This window comes from Homo sapiens, chromosome 3 (assembly GCF_000001405.40).
Source record: "Homo sapiens chromosome 3, GRCh38.p14 Primary Assembly".
Taxonomy (NCBI): Eukaryota; Metazoa; Chordata; class Mammalia; order Primates; family Hominidae; genus Homo; species Homo sapiens.
The window spans coordinates 49123436-49143241 of NC_000003.12; the positions used below are offsets into that span (position 1 = coordinate 49123436).

Sequence of the window (19806 nt, forward strand, 5' to 3'; positions counted from 1 at the left end):
TAACAACTCACCCAGGAAGTTTGAATGTTTGAGCAAGTCAAGATGCTGGTCGAGCTGCCGCAGTGTGAGATTAAGTGCAAGCCTATCTCGCTCCAGACCACTTAGTGCATGGTTGGCATTGAAGTTCTCATCTTGCACATCTGTCAGGTCTGCCTCGAGCTGAGTCAGGTGCTCAGTGGCCTCCCCAATTTCACGCCTGCAATGATGGAGAGGGGGGTGTTTAGAGAGGCTTCAGCCCTGGTCCACTGGGCCTCTGCCCCATCCCACCATGTATTCTTAGGCCCTTCCGCACCGCAGCTCCTCTGTGGCCTCCACAAGCTGTGCAGTGGAGGCGGCTGAGGTGTTGCGGGCACCTACGATGCCCTGCACAATGCCCAGCTTCTCCTGCATGTGCCAGAAGCTGCTCTCAAAGGCACCCAGCACACCCGTCTGTTGCAACTCCTGCGCCCGCTGCTCTAGGCGCTGTGTACGGGCTGCCAAGTCCTGCACCACTCGGTCCCAATCCCCGAAGCATGCATGGCAGGGATGGCAGGCAGGAAAGATTCCTGAGAAGCCACGGGCACACTGGTCACAGCGCACACCAGACACCCCTGGGCGGCAGCTGCAGTGACCTGTGAAGCGGTGACACTGAGGTGTATCTATTCCACGAGAGTCACAATCACAGGCTGCAAGAAAGAGCAGAGCACAGAGTTAGGGTCACTGTGGGGCATTCTGGGAAGTCCTCCATCTACCCTGGCCCCGCTGGCTCCCTCACCATGGCACTGCAACCCAGGGTCTCCCCAGTGGAGCTCTTGGCACTCAGAACAAGTCCGCCCTCCAAAGCCGGCACGGCAGTGGCACTGCCCTGTGAACTGGGGTGGGAACAAGGCAGGGTCAGAGCCTCTATAAGAGGCTAAGCCCTGGAGATAAGACAGACACCTGGCCCCATCTAACCAGGGATCTGCAGGAGGGTCCCATACCTCGTTGCAGGTGGGGCCTCTGGCCCGGCTTGGGTGGCAGGCACAAGGCTGGCAACCATGGCCACTGGTGAGGTTCCAGAAGTTGGGGGCACAGCGGTCACAGCTAGGGCCCTGGACATTGGGGAGGCATGGGCACTGCCCACTGCTTGGATCACAGTGGCACTGGTCAGGAGATGGGCACTGCTGCGGATTTGTGCCCAGCAGGTTGCATGTGCAGCCTGTGCCAACCAAGATGAGCACAGTAGTCAAGAGGAGGCCAAGAAGCAGAACCCCAATTCAGCCATGCCCTCCCACACTCATACTCACGGTGACAGCTCTGTCGGGCAGCCTGCCCATGGAAGCCAGGCTTGCAGTGGGCACAGTGTGGACCCTCTGTGTGGTGTAAACAGCGCAGGCATTGCCCCGTGTGGGGGTCACAGGCATCAGGATCCATTGGGTCAATGTTCCCACTGCACTCACACAGTTGGCACCGGCCACCTGGCCTTGATGGGTCCCCAAAGTGCCCAGGGGCACAAGCTTCACATCGCAGCCCTGCCCACGGTTAAGAGGAAGCTGTGAGTGCTCAGCCCAGCCAACTCACCCTGATCCCACGCCTGCCCCCATCCACTCACCCGTATAGCCTGCCCGGCAGTGGCACACAATCTGCTGGGAATATTCATCCTGGTGGCAAGAAGTAGCAAAGTGCCGTTGGCTCCCAGGGCCTTCAGGACAGGGACAGGGCCGGCACTGGCCCCCATATGGCAGCCGTGGGTCCCCGTGGAAACCAGCAATGCACCTGCAGGGAGGAGGAAGAAGAAATGTGTCATCCCTGGGAAGCCTGCCCACCAACCAACCCACTCATAGCTGCTCCAGTCTCACCTTTCACAGTGCTCACCCCCTGTGTGATCACGGCAGCCCAGGCAAGCGCCTGTGTGGGTGTTGCACTCATCTGCATGCCCATTGCAGACACATGGCCGGCAGCTAGGGAATCCCCACTGGCCACGCTGGCAGCGGTCACAGCGAAGCCCAAAGGCACCAGTTCGACAGAGACATTGCCCACTGGTCTTTTCACAGAGACTGCTGAGTGCCCCCTCGTGGCTGCACTGGCAGGCTAGGAGCAAGGCAGAGCTGAGCCAGAGCCAGGGGAGGGGGTCTGAGGGGAGTGTGGGTGGGGGAGGGTCTCAGGGGAGTGTGAGTAGTGGGAGTCTAGGTGGGAAGGTCAGGAAATGGAAGAGAACTACAACTGACCCAGGTTGAGAGTAGAGGGTCCAAGACTTAGTTTGAGGAAACCAGCAGCAGGTCCAGAAGGAGGAGAGAGAACAGTAATGGGAAGGAGAGAGAAGCATAGGAGGGAACAAGGGGCAGAAGAGTACCTTGACAGCCTGTGGGGCCAAAGCCATAGTAGCCAGGGGCACAGAGGTCACAGCGGCGCCCAACCACTCCAGGCTTGCACAGGCACTGACCACCATGAGGGTTGCACTCAGAACTCAGTGAACCTTGAGGGTTGCACTGACATGCTGTGGGGAGGAGGGTTGGGCCAAGTCAGGCTGGGTCCCCACCTCTGCCCCATCAACCCACATCACAGACACTCACGCAGGGCACCATTGTAGATGAGGGTGGACAGGCTGATGAGGAGGGGTGCGCAGGCCTCAGAGGGAGAAGTCTTGCTGGGCACCAGACCCTCCTCATGGCATTGGTAGCGTTCAAAGGTGGCCTGGCGCTCCAGGGCAGCAGCATCACCCCCACTAAACATCTCTAGCACCAGGACACGGGGCAGCAGCACCAGCTGAAGGAGTGAGCAAGGAAGATCGCAGTTCAGACCTGGGACCACGTAGGCATTGCCAGAGCACTTGCCTTAGCACTGCCACAAGCCTGCCCACCCTGGCACCACCATGGGCCTGCCTCTTCTGCCACAGACCCCTGCTATCCCTCAAGTCCCACACCACGGGCCCTGCCATCTTGGTTGGTGTGGGCAAGAGGAGATTATTCACCGAGTCAATGAGCAGGCCAGGTCCAGAGTAGGGAGTCTCAGGCTGGGCACTTCCCCCTGTCCGTACCAGCTTCAGATGCAGCTTGTAGGAGATACCAGGCTCAAGGCAGACAGGATTAGGAAATATCAAGTACCTGGGGGCGAGTGGGGACAGGTGCAGTGGGTCATCTAGGGGCCCTGTACAAATCATCTGGGCCTCCCCCATCCTTCTCCCAGCAACCAGGCCATTGGCCAAAGCAGAGACTATGGCTGGGTTGCGTTGGGCTGCGCTAGGCCAACAAACAGCTGGGCAGCCCAACAAAGAATCTGCACAGAATAGTCTCATAAAGGTGGCCCTCTAGAATCATACATCCACCTGTGCAGACTCACTGGAAATACTCATAAAGCCTGGAAATCCCAAGAACTTGCCAATTCTCCTCAACAACCACCTCACGCTTCCTCTGACCCCGACCTACAACCTACAATGGCTGCTCCTCTTCATCAACACTATGTCGCCCCCTCTCTCTTTGTCTCCAAGGCTTTCCTTTCCCATTGTGCTGCAAACTCATACTTGGGTTCTTTTATCCCATCCCAAAAATTGTTCTTCAATCCCTCATCTTTTTTCTTTTTATTTTCTGATTTATTTATTTATTTGTTTATTTGAGATGCGGTCTCTGTTGCCCAGGATGGATGGAGTACAGTGCGTGACCTTGGCTCACTGCAGCCTTGACCTCCTGGGTTCAAGATATCCTCCCACCTCAGCCTCCCAAGCAGCTGGAACCACAAGCACACACCACCATGCTTAGCTAATTATTTTATTTTTTGTAGAGACAGGGTCTCGCCATGTTGCCTAGGCTGGTCTTGAATTCCTGGGCTCAAGTGATCCTCCTGCCTCAGTGTCCCAAAGTGCTGGGATTACAGGCATGAGCCACCATGCCTGGTCTAGAGGAATTTTTTTTCTAAACACAAGTCACAGTTGGCAAAATGTCTATAATGGGCACAGCCAGGTTCAATATGTTATTCTCTTTCCTTCTGTTTGAATATTTACATGGTCAAAAACTAAAAGCAATAGGTCAAGTGCAGTGGTTCACGCCTGTAATCCCAGCACTTTGGGAGGCCGAGAAAGGTGGATCACAAGGTCAGGAGATCGAGACCATCCTGGCTAACATGGTGAAACCCCGTCTCTACTAAAAATACAAAAAATTAGCAAGGCATGGTGGCGGGTGCCTGTGGTCCCAGCTACTTGGGAGGCTGAGGCAGGAGAATGGCGTGAACCTGGGAGGTGGAGCTTGCAGTGAGCCGAGATCGCGCCAGTGCACTCCAGCCTGGGCGACAGAGCAAGACTCCATCTCAAAAACAAACAAACAAACAAACAAAACATGAAACAATGAAACAGGGCTGGGCACGGTGGCTCACACCTGTAATCCCAACACTTTGGGAGGCCAAGGCGGGCAGATCACAAGGTCAGAAGATCGAGGCCATCCTGGCCAACATGGTGAAACCCCATCTCTACTAAAAATACAAAAAACTAGCTGGGCGTGGTGGCGTGCACCTGTAGTCCCAGCTACTCGGGATGCTGACACATGAGAATTGCTTGAACCCGGGAGGTGGAGATTACAGTGAGCCGAGATCGCACCACTGCACTCCAGCCTGGTGACAGAGCGAGACTCCGTCTCAAAAAAAAAAAAAAAAAAAAAGAAAAGAAAAGAAAAAAAAAAGAAACATGAAACATGAAACAAATACTACCCAAAATGTAATAAAACATTAATCAGACCAGGCACATCCCTGCTCAGAGTGCTCTGATGCCACAACCCCACCACTACCACCCTCTACCACCACCACTGTGGACCCTCCTGATAGTGACACCAGGTGATTTCCCATTAATTCCTGCCTTGGCCTCTGGGCCTTAGACCCCTGAGAGAGCAGGCCTTGATCTGTCTACTTCCTTTCTGTGAACAGAGCCATGCCCAACAGGGCCTGGCAACCAGCATTCTGGAGGTATTTGAAAGAAGGAACAGATGAATGAGCTGTGGGGTCTTCCAGGTGCCCTGCAGGGAGCTTAGGGCTGGCCCCACAACCCCCTGCCATTGTGAGTGCTACCACCAGTGCCCTCACCTGGCATGTGGTTGCAGAGTCCCTTGGATGCGATCATCCTTGGGCACCAAATGCCCACACAGGCTGTGGGCAGGCACAGGCCCTGGACGCTGCACAATCAGTTCCAACTCTGCCCATTGCTCAGGGACCTGGGAAAACGGGATGATGGAGGAGATGCTCCCACACCCAGAGGTTCAGCCCCAGATTAGATAACAGGGTCTAACCTGGGGCTCTAAGCGCAGCAGCAGGTCATAGTCCATAGCCTTCGGCACAGAGGCCACCAGGAACTCCAGGGTCTGACCTTCCTGTAGCCGCACGAAGCCTGAGCCAGTCCAGGATGGAGTTTCCCCGGGGGTCACCAGGCGCTCCACCACATCGAGCACCTGGGAGATAATGCAGCCAGGGATGGAGGCTCAGGTGAGGCTTTGCCTCTTCTGCCACAGCCAGCCCCAAACCCCATTTCTCCTGCCAAAGCTAGATATCACCCCTATCCCCTCAACAAGGTACTGCCCATAACCCCACCTCTCCAGTCATAGACGTGTCCACCCACATCCAGCCCTCTGCTTAGGGGGAGGCCCCACACCTGCCCTCGGGTGTCCTCAGCCTCCCAAATTAGGTGGTCCAGGAAGGGCCGGAAGTAGCCAGGTTGCACCTGCTCACAGCGTCGCCCAACCATGTGCTGGCGGCAGTGGCATTGACCTGTGCCCTCATCACACCTGGAGGGAACTCTGTGGTTACTCAAGAAGAACCTTCTCTTCTGCTCAGGATCTTTCCCCATCCCTTCCCAGGCCCCCTTTACAACACTTACTGGGGATCCAAAGCACCACCCACGTCGCAGTCACAGGGGCGGCAGCCGAGCAGGTCGTGGCTCAGGCCCCAGTGGCCAGGCTGCACGAAAGGAGTTGCTGGGGGCCAGAAACAGACCTCCAGACCCCATCACCACCCAGCAGGAAATCCCAACCACACGTCTTAGCCTCAATCACCCCTCAGTGAAAACATGCCCCCCAGACCACTGGCCCACATCCTTGGCCTCCCAGACCTGAGGCTTCTCAGCCAGGACTGGATCCTAAGCTCTCAGCACCCACCCACTGGCATAGATGTGACACCCCAGCCCTGTGCTCTAAGGACAAATCATGCCCCTAGAACTCCAGCCCCTTCCAGTCGCACCAGGCAGCGGTCACATCCACGTCCAGTCACTAGACGTTTGCAGTAACAGGATCCACTGTTGGGGTCACAAGGAGTGCTCCCAGGCACTGTGCCCCGTGCATTACATTGACATCCTGCAGGGAAGGAGAACCATCAGCACTTTGGGAAACTGTGGCAGTGCTCATGTTCAGCTGAGTCAGGAGTAAGAGGACAGGGGTTAAAGGTCAGCATAGAAGTTAGGGCAGGAGACACATACGCCGGCAGCCCAGACGGTCACTGATGCTGAGCCCAAAGAAGCCATCACGGCATTGCTGGCAGCGAGTGCCCACCACATGTTCTTTGCAGCGACACTGGCCGGAGACCAGTCCCAGTGCAGGGTCATCATGGGAATCACAGCGACCACCGTCTTGAGAACCCATGGGGTCACAATCACAGGCTGACGGCAAAAAGAGATACAGGGTCACTCACCCTATCTCAACTAGCTCACTGCCAGTCCTCTCCTAAGCCTAAGGGATCCCACCCTGGATCCCTGGTCAAGTTCTATCCCAAGCCCCTAACCCCAATTTCCTGCAATTTAGACAGCAGTCCAGCTCTCTAGTTCCTGCCCCAGGCTCAGCTTTCTCTCCCCGTGCCCAATCCCAGCCTCACAGCGGCACACAGCCGGATCCCGCAGGTCCTTGGTTGGGTCACGGTAGAAGAAGGGCCGACAGAGCTCACAGTGGCGCCCAGCTGTGTTATGCTGACATCCATCACACACACCTCCACTCACATTGCCAGATGCCAGGTATACGGCCATGTCGAAGTGGCAGCTGTGGGTGTGCCCATGGCACTCACACTCTGGCAGGGGAGGAAGGGCAGGGCAAAGGCCACATGAGGAACCAGGTCACAAGGGTAAGAAGTAGGCCACCTTAGATCCCTATCACAGGCCAGAATTTGTGGGTAGGGGCTCAGGGACTTCAAGGCCTCAGCATCATACTGGTTCCCTACCCAGAGCAGACTGCAGAGGAGGATTGAGGGGGTCCCAAGGGGCATCAAGGTCTGCATACTCTTTGGATACAGCCTGGGTTTTAGGGGCTTGACCAACTAGCTCTAGGTTCTACCCAGGGCACAGCCAGGCTGCAGAGTGCTGGAGCTATGGAGGCCAAGATCTCACTCACTCCTACAGGCATGACTATGGCCGTCCTCAGCCGGACGCCAGGGCAGGTCACGATAGAAATCCTGACACTGCTCGCAGTTGAGGCCACGTGTGTTGTGTTTGCAGATGCAAGCTCCGTGCACCTATAGAGGTTGGCAGGTAGGTTGTCAGCACTGCTCAGCCATGTCCGCCCCTGCCCCTAGCCCTATCCCAACCGTCTGAAGCCCCTTACCATGCCCTCAGCATGGGCTGGTGCCCCTGGGGCGGGTGCACACTCTGAGGCGTGTCCGTAGCAGAAGCAGTTGCCACGTACAACCAGCTCATAGAGGGCATAGTAGTACTTCTCTCGGATCTCCCTCCGTGGGTCGAGTAGGTTGTCTCCCAACGTGTGTAGACGAGTCAGGTTCACCCGTAGGTTGGTGATCTTCAACAGGTCTGAGGCGGGGGAAGGGGGGCCAACTGACCAGGCAGGCCCTTGCTGCCCCATGTCCACCCAGGGGCTCAGCTGCCAAGGTCACCTTGAAAGACCTCCTATACACTGCCACCCGAGCTAAACTGGGCTTGGCACCTGCCCTAGGAAGCACCCAAAATAGTTACTGAGGCCCCAAATAGTCCCTAGCCGGACACGGACTGTGCCAGACTCAAAGGGTGGAGCACTCACTCTGAATCCGTGAGCTGTAGGGGTCTGGGATAGGGATGGCAGGGTCCAGCACACGATAGATGACCTGGAGAAGCAGGGAGTTCATAGTCACACTGGACCTTGCCTCAGGCCCATCATCCCCAGCTTCCAGCCCCCAGCCCAGATGCCAGCCCTCACCTCGCCTTCAGTGGATGGCTCAATCTCTGAGTAGCGGGACTCACAGACTACATCATCCCAGTGCCGTGGGGGTGCTAGTGGGACTCCTGGGAAGTCAGCCCCACAGTCATAGGAGAAATATCGGTACACATGCCAGGTGCGGCCAAAGTCTGCTGAGCGTTCCACCAGCATGGCAGCAGGGCGAAATGTCTGGGTAGGGGGGCATAGCTGATCAGCAGGCACCAGGACCCAAGCCCAACCCAGAGCCATCAAGAGCCCTGCTCAGCCCAAGACTGCCCTCAAATAGCTCACAGAGAGTGGGGGTGACTGGTGGAAGCCAGATAATGACCAGCAAAGGTAGCCACCTCTAATGGGGAGACTCAGGGTTCATGGGGCTCAGGGAGACAGCGCCTGACCCAGCCTGGGATTGGAAAGGCAGAAGAGCATGTGCAAAGGCCTGGAGGCAAATGGAAGGTGTGAAGGGATGAAGGAGCCTCCTGCATCCATGCTCAAGGAGGCTGTGTTAAGGAGCTGAGGCTCTGTCCAGGGGCAATGGAGAGCCAAGCAGGGTGATTCGGGCAGGCTCCCAGATATGCAGGCACCTTGAAGGTCATAATGAGGTGTGTGAAATGAAACTCAGCCTCCAGGTCCAGCTGGATGGTGACCGCAGGGATACCTGGGACAGGAATCGGAAGTCAAGGACTCAAAGCTACTGGTGGGCAGCCCTGCTCACTTTTGCCCCACCCATGGCCTCACCATTCTCTGACTGCCACCAGGCTGCCCGCCGCTGTGGTGCAAAGCTGGTGACTACATTCTGGATGCGATGGCTGTGTGGGTTGTCTCTAGCAGAGAAGGGGCGCCGGGAGTCACAAAGGAAGCACTTCTTTTCGTCCTGGGTTGGATGGGGATTAGAATCAGTGCCTCAGGCAGTGCCAGCCCCACCCTGACTCGGCGTCACACCCTGTCCCCAGCCACACCTGCAGGTGACTGACGATGCAGTAGGGCTGGGGGCCATTCAGGCCACAAGTGGATGAGGCAGTCAGTCTGTCAGCTCGGCCCACCAGCAGGTCGCCCGTGGCGGGGTAGCAGCTTCCCCTGGAACAGCCAGGCACATCCGGGGCAGGGGCCTGTGCCAGTGTGGCAGCCAGCACTGGGGACAGTAGCTCAGTCAGTTCCGCTGAGTTCCTATCCAGTGGCTCCACCTCATGTGCCCCAAGGGCAACTACCAGGACCTACCATCACATTCCACAACCCCCAGCCCCCACCAGGCCCTCTCACCGCTTAGCAGTAGGCCCAGTCGAAGTTCCCAGGGCAGAGGCTGTCCCCTCCCTCTTTCCCTTGAGGTCAGCTCCATCCTGAAGAGGGGAACAGGGATAAGGGGAGGTGAACGGTCTCGGGCCCGAGCCCTCCTCCTTGCTTTGGGGTTCCGTGTCAACTCTGCCTGTGGGTCTTTGGCCTGTTTCCCTCCAGGCCCTCTGTCAGTTCCCAGGTCTGTCCAGCGGTCCCTCCGACAGCTTAGAGTCCAGCGACTTTGAGCAAAGTTGGGAATCGCGGCAGGAAGGAAAGGCCGGAGCGGATTCTGGGAAGGAGCGCAACACCGGGCGGAGAGCGCCCCCACCCCAACCCTACCCCTTCCCTCCGGAAACTGCCTTCGCCCCAGGAACCAGAGACAGACCACTTCACCCACAAATCTTTATTGTGCCCCCAAGCCCACACCTATACGAGGGCCAGGGGAAGGTAAGGGGTTTGGTGCTTTAAACTATCCTTGGAAGAGGGCTCACGAAGTTGGGGGCATGGCAGGAGCAAATGAGAGATCTTCGGGATCTCCAACTCTGGACCAAGGAGACCGTAGCCTTTTCCCCTCAGCGTCATGGGCGCCGTGGAAATTACCATCAACTCAGCCGTTTGATCCCAGGGCTCCAGCATCAACAGAGAGGCTGGAGGGCACAAGCAGGAGCAACACATGCCCCTATTCAGGGCTGTGGGGGGCTCTCGGGTAGTCCTAGGGACTGGACAGAATGGGGCTGGGGGAGAGATGGGGAAAGTGCACACCCAGCCCGAAGCACAGCTCCAGGGGGGTCACTGCCTCCCCCACTAGTCACTACGGTAAGTAGGCACGAGAAGTGCTGCGGGTTTCCCTGTATGGAAATAGGCTCTGGGTGGTGGACCAGAGCTACGGCGAGCGACTCCGGATCTTGTGGCTATTTATCCGCTCCAGACTTTTTGGCCTGCCGGGATCGCAGGAGCCTGGGGTTGGAATGTGCGCGGCGGCGTGGAGGGGGAGAGAAGGAGGAAAGTGGGTGGGGGATATGGGGCGCGCCCCACCCAGGGCCCTGGGAACGGGAAGCTGGGGGAAACATGGGGTCCTCCGGTCTTTAGGGCTGGGTCTGGCCTGCCGCCTCCACAGTCCCGGCAGGGAGTGCCCTGAGCTGCCATCCAGGGAAGAAAGCTGATGATAGTTCCTCAGGGGAATCACCCCACTTCACAAAGGAGCATGGGGGCGGCGGGGGTGGGGGTTGGGTGAGGGTTGGGTGGGGGTCAGTCAATCCGTTGGACTTTAGGCATCGCTGGGAGTTATTCTGGATATCCGGAGTAGAGGTCTCCAGTCACCCTGAGGATCATGTAGTCAACCTGGGGGATCAGGGATACTAGAAATTACTGAGAATTTTAATTTTTTTTTTTTTTTTGAGACAGAGTGTCGCTCTGTCACCCAGGCTGGAGTGCAGTGGCGAGATCTCCGCTTACTGCAACCTCTGCCTCCCAGGTTCAAGCGATTCTCCTGCCTCAGCTTCCCAAGTAGCTAGGATTACAGGCGCCCACCACCACGCCCAGCTAATGTTTCTATTTTTAGTAGACATGGGGTTTCACCATGTTGGCTTGGCTGGTCTTGAACTCCTGATCTCAGGTGATCCTCCCGCCTCTGCCTCCGAAAGCGCTGGGATTACAGGCATGAGCCAGTAAATAGTGCCAGGCCCCATCTATTTATTTTGAGTGGAGAATGCCAGCACTGTAGTCTCACAGTTTTAGATCACTCAGAGATAAAGGTGTATCAAGGTCTGGGACACTAGATGGCCTCAGGGAGTTACATGATCTGTCTGCTTTCTCAAGGTCAGAGGGCCACTGGGGGACATCGTGGGGCCACATGGGGGGGTCACTCAGGGTCAGTGGGCACTCAGTAGGATCTTTGGTCTCCCAAGGCCAGGAGATTCCTGGATCACTCTAGGGCCACTTTGAGTTACCCAGGTGATCCCACAGTCCTTCTTAATGGCTTCCATAGACAGTAATTAGCAGGTGGCATACTTATTGGTGGCAAAGCACATCATGTGCCCAAGCAGCTCAGCTGCCTGCTGCTCCAGGGCCTGCAGGGTGGCTGCCTTCTTGCCCAGTGCCTGTGCATTCTGTGTCAGGCGGCACTCCAACCCTGGGGTCAGGTCATCTGAGCCAGGCTCTGACCCCTGGCTCTAACCTCTGATCCTGGTCCCAGTCTCTATCACAACCCTGACCCTGACCCAGCCCTAACCTTAAATAAACCCTGAACCTAATCAACACTTGATCCCTGGTCTAAACCTTGACCCTAGCCCTGATCCCTACATGAGTCAAGATCTGATCTGGACCCAGCCTTAACCCTTCCACAACATCCCTATTCTGGCCCTGACCTTTCCATCTGACCCTAAGCCGTTCCCTGTGCCTGCCCTATTGCAGGCCAGCCATGCACCATGCAGGCAGCTGAAGCTGCTTTATGCCTTCTTCAGGAGCTCCTGGGCCTCAGCTCAAGCCTGCTGCACCCATTCTTTTGCATCCTGCACAGTGGCTACCAGGCCATATGTGTCCTCCTGCAGCTCGGCCACAGCCAAAGGGGCCACCTACAACTCCTAGGGCAGGGCTGGACCTGAATCCCCACCCCACCCAGAATATATTGCCTCAAATATATTACTGCCTAAGGTTCCTGGAGAAAAGGAGAATTTAGAACTGAGATCCCGCCTCAGTCCAGTATAGCCCAGCCCCAGCCCAAACCCCACTTTCCACTGTTCCAGAGGGGTCCCTGAGACCCCAGTGCCCACTCTTCCCCATTTCATCTTGCCCAGGCCCTCAGCCCTGCCTACGACTCATGCTGCCCATTCTTCTGCCTCCTGGGCCTGCTGCTGACTCAGGACAAAACATGCCCTGAGCACCTTAGCTACACTGGACAGACGCCCTGGGACTGGGGTCACCTCAACTGCCAGTGCCATCTGGGCCAGGCGCCCTACTACCTGGGGCAAAGGTTAGGGGGTCACAGAGAGGACACAGCACAGTAGCAACTAGGCTGAGTGTTATCACGGTCAAGGTACTTGGTAGCACTGTGGTATCATAGTGAGTCAAGGATCTCAGGGAGAATGGAAATCACAGCAGTCATTGAACAAGGGATGTAAAGGAGCTGAGGGTACAAGTAGGGTATCACCTCCTGTACAGTGCCCTCCAGGCCTTCAAGTGCCAGCTTCACTTCCTGTAGCCCTTGCTCTGCGGCCCCTGCATGAGTTCCATTCCCCCCTCAGCCAGCACCCCCTGAACATCCAGTGCTTGGTGCTGGGCCCAGGTTGTACCCTCCTTGAAGAACACAGGTGTTCAGTTAGGCATCCCTTTTCTGGCCACCCTCTGACTTCCACCTCCAGCCTCCTGGCCCTTCACCTGGTTCACTCTGCCTGATGGAGGATGCCTTCAGCTTTGGGCAGCTTCTGGCCCATGGCATCCGGTACAGGGAGAGCACCCTGGATCTGACCCAGCAGAAGAGCAATGCCTACTGCCCCCACCTTGGGGAAGGGGCACTGACAGCCAGCTCCACACTTGTGGTGTCCACACCTTTGTCTGTGGGGAAGAGGGTAGGGATCTTAGGCCTGAACCCTGAACTCTGAGCCAACAAACCCTGACCCTAGCCTCTCACTGATCCTGCCTTAGACACAACTATCCAGTGGTGTGCTGGAGGCTTACAAGAGGCAATTGTTGGCCGGGCGCAGTGGCTCACGCCTGTAATCCCAGCACTTTGGGAGGCCGAAGCAGGCAGATTGCCTGAGCTCAGGAGTTCGAGACCAGCCTGAGCAACACGGTGAAAACCCATCTCTACTAAAATACAAAAAATTAGCCAGGCATGGTGGCATGTGCCTGTACTCCCAGCTACTCAGGAGGCTGAGGCAGGAGAATTGCTTGAACCCGGGAGGCGGAGCTTGCAGTGAGCCAAGATCACACCACTGCACTCTAGCCTGGGTGACAGAGCGAGACTCTGTCTCTAAAAAAAATAAAAAATAAAATGATAATAAAAAAAGGGTAATCCCAGCACTTTGGGAGGCCAAGGCAGGCAGATTACAAGGTCAGGAGTTTGAGACCAGCCTGGCCAATGTAGTGAAAACTCATCTCTACTAAAAATAACAAAAATTAGCTGGATGTGGTGGCGGGTGCCTGTAATCCCAGCTACTCAGAAGGCTGAGGCAGGAGAATCGCTTGAACCCAGGAGGTGGCGGTTGTGGTGAGCCGAGATCACGCCACTGCACTCCAGCCTGGGTGACAGAGCGAGACTCTCCCTCTCAAAAATAATAATAATAATACTAAAATAAAAAGAGCCAATTGTTAAATTTTCAGGAATTTTGCAAATAAGTTGTCAAATGGTATGGACTGAAATCAATCATGATAGCATTACTTACATCATGGATATTGACAAATGCTAAAAATCAGTTTCCCCTGACTCACAGCCAGTTGTTAAAAATTTATCTACACACATGGCCAGATGCGGTGGCTCACGCCTGTAATCCCAGCACTTTGGGAGGCGAAGGCGGGTGGATCATGAGGTCAGGAGTTCAAGACCAGCCTGGCCAAGATGGTGAAACCCCGTCTCTACTAAAAATACAAAAAAAAATTACAGTGTGCCTGTAATCCCAGCTACTTGGGAGGCTGAGGTGGGAGAATCGCTTGAACCCGGGGGGCGCAGGTTGCAGTGAGCCGAGATTGCACCACTGCACTCCAGCCTGGGTGACAGAGCAAGACTCCCTCTCAAAAAAAAAAAAAAAATTTACGCACACACTAGTGTTCCCACTTGACCCCTGGTCAGCCCTGATGAATATTCCTCATTCTGGAAGGAGTATCATGATAGTGTCCTGCATACCCTATTAACCCTGCCCTTGGCTGTGAACAGACATGCAACAAGCAGATATGTACCCATGAGGAAGCGCTGGATGATCTGCACGGCTGCTTGCATGTGGGTCATGGCAGTCATGCCCCAAGGTCCCCTTTCCCAATACCATGTCTCCTGTGCCTGGATTCCTGTGGAGCTTGCTATGGCCTGGATTTGCTGCAGCTGGTGGGCGTGGGTCAGATGTGGAATATGTTGCCTACAACACCATGTCCAAGCCATGGTTTCCTGTGACTCCCCCATGGCTCCCACCCACAGTCCCCCTGGCTGTGTACCTGTTGTTGATGCTGCTCCAAGGCTGTGACTCTATGTCCAGGCTATGGGAGGAGTTGTGGAAGGCAACAAGAGCCCACTGAACAGTGGGCAGGGTCCCAGGTTGGAGGGAGCAGCCTGTGCCTGCTACAGTACCCAATCTAGGACCTGCAGGTGTCCACCCTGGCCCCTAACACCCCCACCAGGCATCCCCTAGCATAGGGTGGCCACCTCTTGGGCCACAGCTTCCAGCTGCAGTGGGAGCAGAGCCAGGAGTTGGTCTCAGAAGGTGAAGCAGGTGGGACAGGAGGTGCAGTGTGGGAAGGCACCTCTGGAGCCATGAGCACATGCCTGGCACCTCAGCCCTAAGATGCCCTCTCTGAAGAAGCAGGTGCCCATGTGTGAATCACAGCTGGGCAAGATGGAGCCCTGTGGGTCACAGGCACAGGCTGCAGAGGAGAGATAGGGTCAGGGTAGAGAGCAGATGACACTAGCTCTAGCCTTACCTTCGAGAGACCTGAAGGATGGGCCAGGTGCAGTGACTCACACCTGTAACCCCACCACTTTGGGAGGCTGAGGCAGGAGGATCACTTGAGCTCAGGAGTTTGAGACCAGCCTGAGCAACATAGGGAGATCCTGTCTCTACAAAAAAATTTAAAAATTAGCCAGGTGTGGCGGCGTGTGCTGTAGTCTCAGCTACTCAGCAGGATGAGGTGGGAGGATCACTTGAACCTGGGAGGTTGAGGCTGTAGTGAGCTAAGATCATGCCACTGTACTCCAGCCCAGGTGACAGAGTGAGACCCTATTTCTTTTCCTTTTTTTTTTTTTGTGAGACAGAGTCTCGCTCTGTAAGTGTAGTGGTGCGATCTCGTCTCACTGCAACCTTCACCTCCCAGGTTCAAGCAATTCTCCTGCCTCAGCCTCCTGAGCAGCTGTGACTACAGGCAACCGCCAACATGCCTGGCTAATTTTTTTTTTTTTGTATTTTTAGTAGAGACGGGGTTTCACCATATTGGCTAGGCTGGTCTTAAACTCCTGACCTCATGATCTACCCGCCTCGGCCTCCCAAAGTGTTGGGATTACAGGCGTGAGCCACTGTGCCTGACCCATGAGACCCTATTTCTGAAAAAATAATAGGTCTGTGGGAGGCTAAGGTGGGTGGATCACTTGAGCTCAGGAGTTCAAGACCAGCCTGGGCAACATGGAAAAACCCCATCTCTACAAAAAATACAAAAATTAGCTGGACATGGTGGGGCACACCTGTGGTCCCAGCTCCTCAGGAGATAAGGCGGGAGGATCCCTTGAGCCTGGAAGGTTGAGACTGCAATGAGCCAAGATTGTGCCACTGCACTCCAGCTTGGGTGACAGAGTGAGAGCCCGTCTCAAAAAAAAATGTCTGAAGGGGCTGAGCACGGTGGCTCACGCCTGTAATCCCAGCACTTTGGGAGGCTGAGGCGGGCAGATCACGAGGTTAGGAGATTGAGACCATCCTGGCTAACATGGTGAAATCCCGTCTCTATTAAAAATACAAAAACAAAATTAGCCGGGCGTGGTGGCGGGCACCTGTAGTCCCAGCTACTCAGGAGGCTGAGGCAGGAGAATGGCATGAACCTGGGAGGCGGAGCTTGCAGTGAGCTGAGATCTCACCACTGCACTCCAACCTGGGCGACAGAGCGAGACTCCGTCTCAAAAAAAAAAAAAAATACTGAAGGATGAGAATGGCCCTGTGTAGGTGTGAGGGTGCACACCAACCCTTGCCTAAGCCACTGCTCAGAACTGCCATGGGCACTGGCATTTACCCTGGACAGAGAGGCCATACTGCATGGCAGTATTTGGGCAGGAAAACAGCACAGGGTTCCAGGGGCTCTACAGCCCTGTCAGGGGTCAACCAGAGTCAAGGGCTGGCAGGCAGGGTGAGGAAAGAGCCACCTGATGTGTCCTCTCTATAGGCATCCCTCGCCTAGCCTTGCTGTTTCCCTTCAGCTGTTTTCACAAGTATTTCTTTAAGTTCTTTGGGGAAACAGCAATAAACGTGCTGTGTTCTCCCTCAGGAAAACCCCAAACACTCCCTTGCTACTCCATATTGAGCAGCCCCTGCAGGGCAGCCTCACCCCTGGCTGTGGAATGTGCAAGTGCCCCTCTCACCTCTGCACTCCTGCTCAGGGTCACCCCAATACCCATTCTGCAACTGGGAGCATTTGCAGCTCCCAGACGCTGCCCAGCAGGGGCACTGACCTGTGACCTGAAGGAAGAAAGCATAGCCTGGTCAGCAGGGCCAAAGACCCTTCTCTGGGAGAGGGAAAAGGACTTGAGTGCTTAGACATGCATGGCACACACATACTTGTATTTCCTCCCAGCTGTGTTCCTGCCCAAGGCAGCACCCACACTTGCATTTGGCTGAGAGCCTCTCCCTTCCTGCTTTCTCTGGTGTTGTGAGAAGTCAGGGACCCTGACTGGAGGGACCGGCTGGAGCCGAGGCAGAAGAACATAAATTGTGAAGATTTCATGGACATTTATCAGTTCCCCAAATTAATACTTTTATAATTTCTTATGCCTGTCTTTATTGCAATCTCTGAACATAAATTGTGAAGATTTCATGGACATTTATTATTTCCCCAATAATACTCTTATAATTTCTTATGCCTGTCTTTAATCTCTTAATCCTGTTATCTTCATAAGCCGAGAATATACATCACCTCAGGACCACTATTGTACAAATTGATTGTAGAACTTGTGTGTTTGAACAATATGAAATCTGATTGTAAAATATGTGTGTTCGAACAATATGAAATCAGTGCACCCTGAAAAAGAACAGAATATCAGCAATTTTCAGGGAACAAGGGAAGATAACCATAAGGTCTGACTGCCTGCAGGGTCGGGCAGAATAGAGCCATATTTTTCTTCTTTCAGGGAGCCTATAAATGGATGTGCGAGTAGGAGAAATATCGCTGAATTATTTTCCCAGCAAGGAATATTAATAATTGATACCCTAGGGAAGGAATGCATTCCTGGGGGAAGGTCTATAGACGGCCACTCTGGGAGTTTGTGTCTTATGTGGTTGAGATAAGGACTGAAATATGCCCTGGTCTCCTGCAGTACCCTCAGGCTTACTAGGATTGGGAAATTCCAGCCTGGTAAATTCTAGTCAGACCGGTTGTCTGCTCTCAAACCTTGTTTCCTGTTAAGATGTTTATCAAGACAATCTGTGTACAATGGGACATAGACCCTCATCAGTAATTCTAATTTTGCCTTTGCCTTGTGATCTTTATTGTTCTTTGAAGTATGTGATCCTTGTGACCTACTCCCTGTTTGTACACCCCCTCCCCTTTTAAAATCCCTAATAAAAACTTGCTGGTTTTGTGGCTTGGGGTCACCATCACGGTCCTACCAATGTGTGATGATACTCCCGGAGGCCCAGCTGTAAAATTTTTCTTTGTACTCTTTCTCTTTATTTCTTAGACCTGCTGACACTTAGGGAAAATAGAAAGAATCTATGTTGAAATATTGGGGGTTGGTTCCCTTGATACTCTGGCCTGCTGCCTTGGCCAATCTGCACCTTCCCACATTGCCAGCCCTTGCTTCCCATGGACCCACTAGTTCTCATCTCCTGATCTGTTGCCCTTAGTTTCCCCATGTCCTGAGTTGCATACCCACTGTTTCCATGCCCCTCCTCCTATGCCTCACTCACTCCCTGAGTCTGACTCCCACCCCTCTCCTTGCCAAGGACACAGGAACACACTTCAAGCTTCATCTCATTCAGTCTCTGACCACTTTCCTCCCAGAAACGCTTGCTTCCCATGGCCATCTCTCTCTGCCTGCACCAGATCTCAATCCTAACCCTCCACCTGTACCTCCTCAGTCTCCTTCTCCTTCCAGCCCCACTCTTGTCTCCACCCCTCATCACGCTCACTCTGCTTGCCATGACCTACTCACAGTGGTTCACTCACAAATTAGTGCATGGCTGCATGTGGGACTGGGGACATGCAGCCTCGTGTCCATACTCCCCCACACCCTGACACCACCTTATAGTTAACGCCACATGAGAGCAGAGACTCACACAGCTGTTTGCAGCCCCATGTACCAGTACTGGTGCTGGTGGTCACATTCACTCACAGCAGCCATAAGTCACATTGTGTCATAGGCAAGTGCAAGTTCACTCACACCTGGCTATGACCACATGCTATGTACAATATGGGCTTACTCACTGGGTGGCACATTGATTGCAAAGTGTATTGAGCATGAAAGCCACAGAGTTCACAGCCCCAGGGGTCTCCCAGGTTCCAGAAGAGGGGGGCACAGTGGCTGCAGTCTTGCCCCAGAGTGCGGGGGCAGCACAGGCTTCAGCCTCAGATGGGCACCACATGAGGACATTGTCTCAAGGGTCACAACTGTAGCCTGGGGAGAGGAAGGCTTGGCCAATCTGGGGAGTGAAAATCCTACCCGGTCACCCTGGGATGTCCCCACCCACAAACTCATGCTGGCAGCCCTCTGAGCCCAGGTCTATAGGGGAACCTGCCCCCAATAGTCACACAGGTTCTTTTCTGTTTTCCCTAAGCATCGGCCAGGTTGAGAAATAAAGGGACAGAGTACAAAAGAGATAAATTTTAAAACTGGGCGTCTGGGGGAGACATCACATGTCGGTAGGTTCCATGATGCCCTCTGAGCCGTGAAACCAGCAAGTTTTTATTAGTGATTTTCAAAAGGGGAGGGAGTGTATGAATAGGGTGTGGGTCACAGAGATCACATGCTTCACAAGGTGATAGAATATCACAAGGCAAATGGAGGCAGGGCGAGATCACAGGACCACAGGACTGGGGCAAAATTAAAATTGCTAATGAAGTTTCGGGCACCATTGTCACTGATAACATCTTATCAGGAGACAGGGTTTGAGAGCAACCTGTCTGACCAAAATTTATTAGGCGGGAATTTCCTCATCCTAATAAGCCTGGGAGCGCTATGGGAGACTGGGGCTTATTTCATCTCTACAGTTTCGACCACAGAAGATGGCCACACCCAAGGGGGCCATTTTAGAGGCCTACTCTCAGAGGCGCATTCTCTTTCTCAGGGATGTTCCTTGCTGAGAAAAAGAATTCAGCGATATTTCTCCCATTTGCTTTTGAAAGAAGAGAAATACAGCTCTGTTCCGCCTGGCTCACCAGCGGTCAGAGTTTAAGGTTATCTCTCTTGTTCCCTGAACATTGCTGTTATCCTGTTCTTTTTTCAAGGTGCCCAGATTTCATATTGTTCAAACACACATGCTCTACAATTTGTGCAGTTAATGCAATCATCACAGGGTCCTGAGGCGACATACATCCTCCT

At 54.5% G+C, this 19806-nt stretch overlaps 1 protein-coding gene and 1 long non-coding RNA gene across 3 annotated transcripts in view, besides 6 other annotated features; one reads left to right on the forward strand and one right to left on the reverse strand.

Moving 5' to 3' along the window:
* The window catches only part of LAMB2 (laminin subunit beta 2), an 11937-nt gene extending 2322 nt beyond the window's left edge, over positions 1–9615 (reverse strand). Inside the window, exons 1-26 of one of the 2 annotated variants that reach the window (XM_005265127.5) lie at positions 9520–9615; positions 9357–9433; positions 9056–9228; positions 8835–8970; positions 8681–8754; positions 8100–8288; positions 7944–8007; positions 7515–7717; positions 7305–7425; positions 6796–6984; positions 6404–6583; positions 6169–6281; positions 5810–5889; positions 5585–5717; positions 5226–5384; positions 5023–5150; positions 2930–3062; positions 2532–2724; positions 2312–2455; positions 1818–2049; positions 1571–1734; positions 1266–1490; positions 960–1177; positions 755–851; positions 293–665; positions 12–196 (exon numbers count right to left, since the gene is read on the reverse strand). In XM_005265127.5, coding sequence (XP_005265184.1) covers positions 12–196; positions 293–665; positions 755–851; positions 960–1177; positions 1266–1490; positions 1571–1734; positions 1818–2049; positions 2312–2455; positions 2532–2724; positions 2930–3062; positions 5023–5150; positions 5226–5384; positions 5585–5717; positions 5810–5889; positions 6169–6281; positions 6404–6583; positions 6796–6984; positions 7305–7425; positions 7515–7717; positions 7944–8007; positions 8100–8288; positions 8681–8754; positions 8835–8970; positions 9056–9228; positions 9357–9432 — 3982 coding nt within the window. In that variant the 5' untranslated portion in view covers position 9433; positions 9520–9615. Of the gene's footprint in view, positions 1–11; positions 197–292; positions 666–754; positions 852–959; positions 1178–1265; positions 1491–1570; positions 1735–1817; positions 2050–2311; positions 2456–2531; positions 2725–2929; positions 3063–5022; positions 5151–5225; positions 5385–5584; positions 5718–5809; positions 5890–6168; positions 6282–6403; positions 6584–6795; positions 6985–7304; positions 7426–7514; positions 7718–7943; positions 8008–8099; positions 8289–8680; positions 8755–8834; positions 8971–9055; positions 9229–9356 lie in introns of both variants that reach the window. The other variant, NM_002292.4, reaches the window with a different exon arrangement.
* Positions 1905–2044: an enhancer, noted in NCBI's record as "active region_19855". NCBI's record gives its function as "activates an Ori minimal core promoter by ATAC-STARR-seq in GM12878 lymphoblastoid cells {active_cell/tissue: GM12878}" and the evidence as "EXISTENCE:reporter gene assay evidence [ECO:0000049][PMID:35858748]".
* Positions 4627–5544: an enhancer, noted in NCBI's record as "H3K4me1 hESC enhancer chr3:49165495-49166412 (GRCh37/hg19 assembly coordinates)". NCBI's record gives its function as "activates a minimal SCP1, AML or CMV promoter by ChIP-STARR-seq in primed H9 embryonic stem cells {active_cell/tissue: H9 hESC(primed)}" and the evidence as "EXISTENCE:reporter gene assay evidence [ECO:0000049][PMID:30033119]".
* Positions 8073–8888: an enhancer, noted in NCBI's record as "H3K27ac-H3K4me1 hESC enhancer chr3:49168941-49169756 (GRCh37/hg19 assembly coordinates)". NCBI's record gives its function as "activates a minimal SCP1, AML or CMV promoter by ChIP-STARR-seq in naive H9 embryonic stem cells {active_cell/tissue: H9 hESC(naive)}" and the evidence as "EXISTENCE:reporter gene assay evidence [ECO:0000049][PMID:30033119]".
* On the forward strand, positions 9433–17863 carry LOC124909377 (uncharacterized). The gene is made up of 2 exons (XR_007095905.1): positions 9433–10184; positions 16845–17863. It is a non-coding gene; the product is annotated as an uncharacterized LOC124909377 (long non-coding RNA).
* Positions 9706–10521: an enhancer, noted in NCBI's record as "H3K27ac hESC enhancer chr3:49170574-49171389 (GRCh37/hg19 assembly coordinates)". NCBI's record gives its function as "activates a minimal SCP1, AML or CMV promoter by ChIP-STARR-seq in naive H9 embryonic stem cells {active_cell/tissue: H9 hESC(naive)}" and the evidence as "EXISTENCE:reporter gene assay evidence [ECO:0000049][PMID:30033119]".
* Positions 11055–11268: a transcriptional cis regulatory region, noted in NCBI's record as "candidate enhancer chr3.2093 targeted for multiplex CRISPR interference". NCBI's record gives its function as "positively regulates PFKFB4 gene expression with high confidence in K562 cells {active_cell/tissue: K562}" and the evidence as "EXISTENCE:mutant phenotype evidence [ECO:0000015][PMID:30612741]".
* Positions 12801–13095: a silencer, noted in NCBI's record as "tiled region #3170; K562 Repressive non-DNase unmatched - State 23:Low". NCBI's record gives its function as "represses a minimal TATA promoter and a strong SV40 promoter by Sharpr-MPRA in K562 cells {active_cell/tissue: K562}" and the evidence as "EXISTENCE:reporter gene assay evidence [ECO:0000049][PMID:27701403]".
* Positions 17864–19806: the final 1943 nt, after the last annotated feature.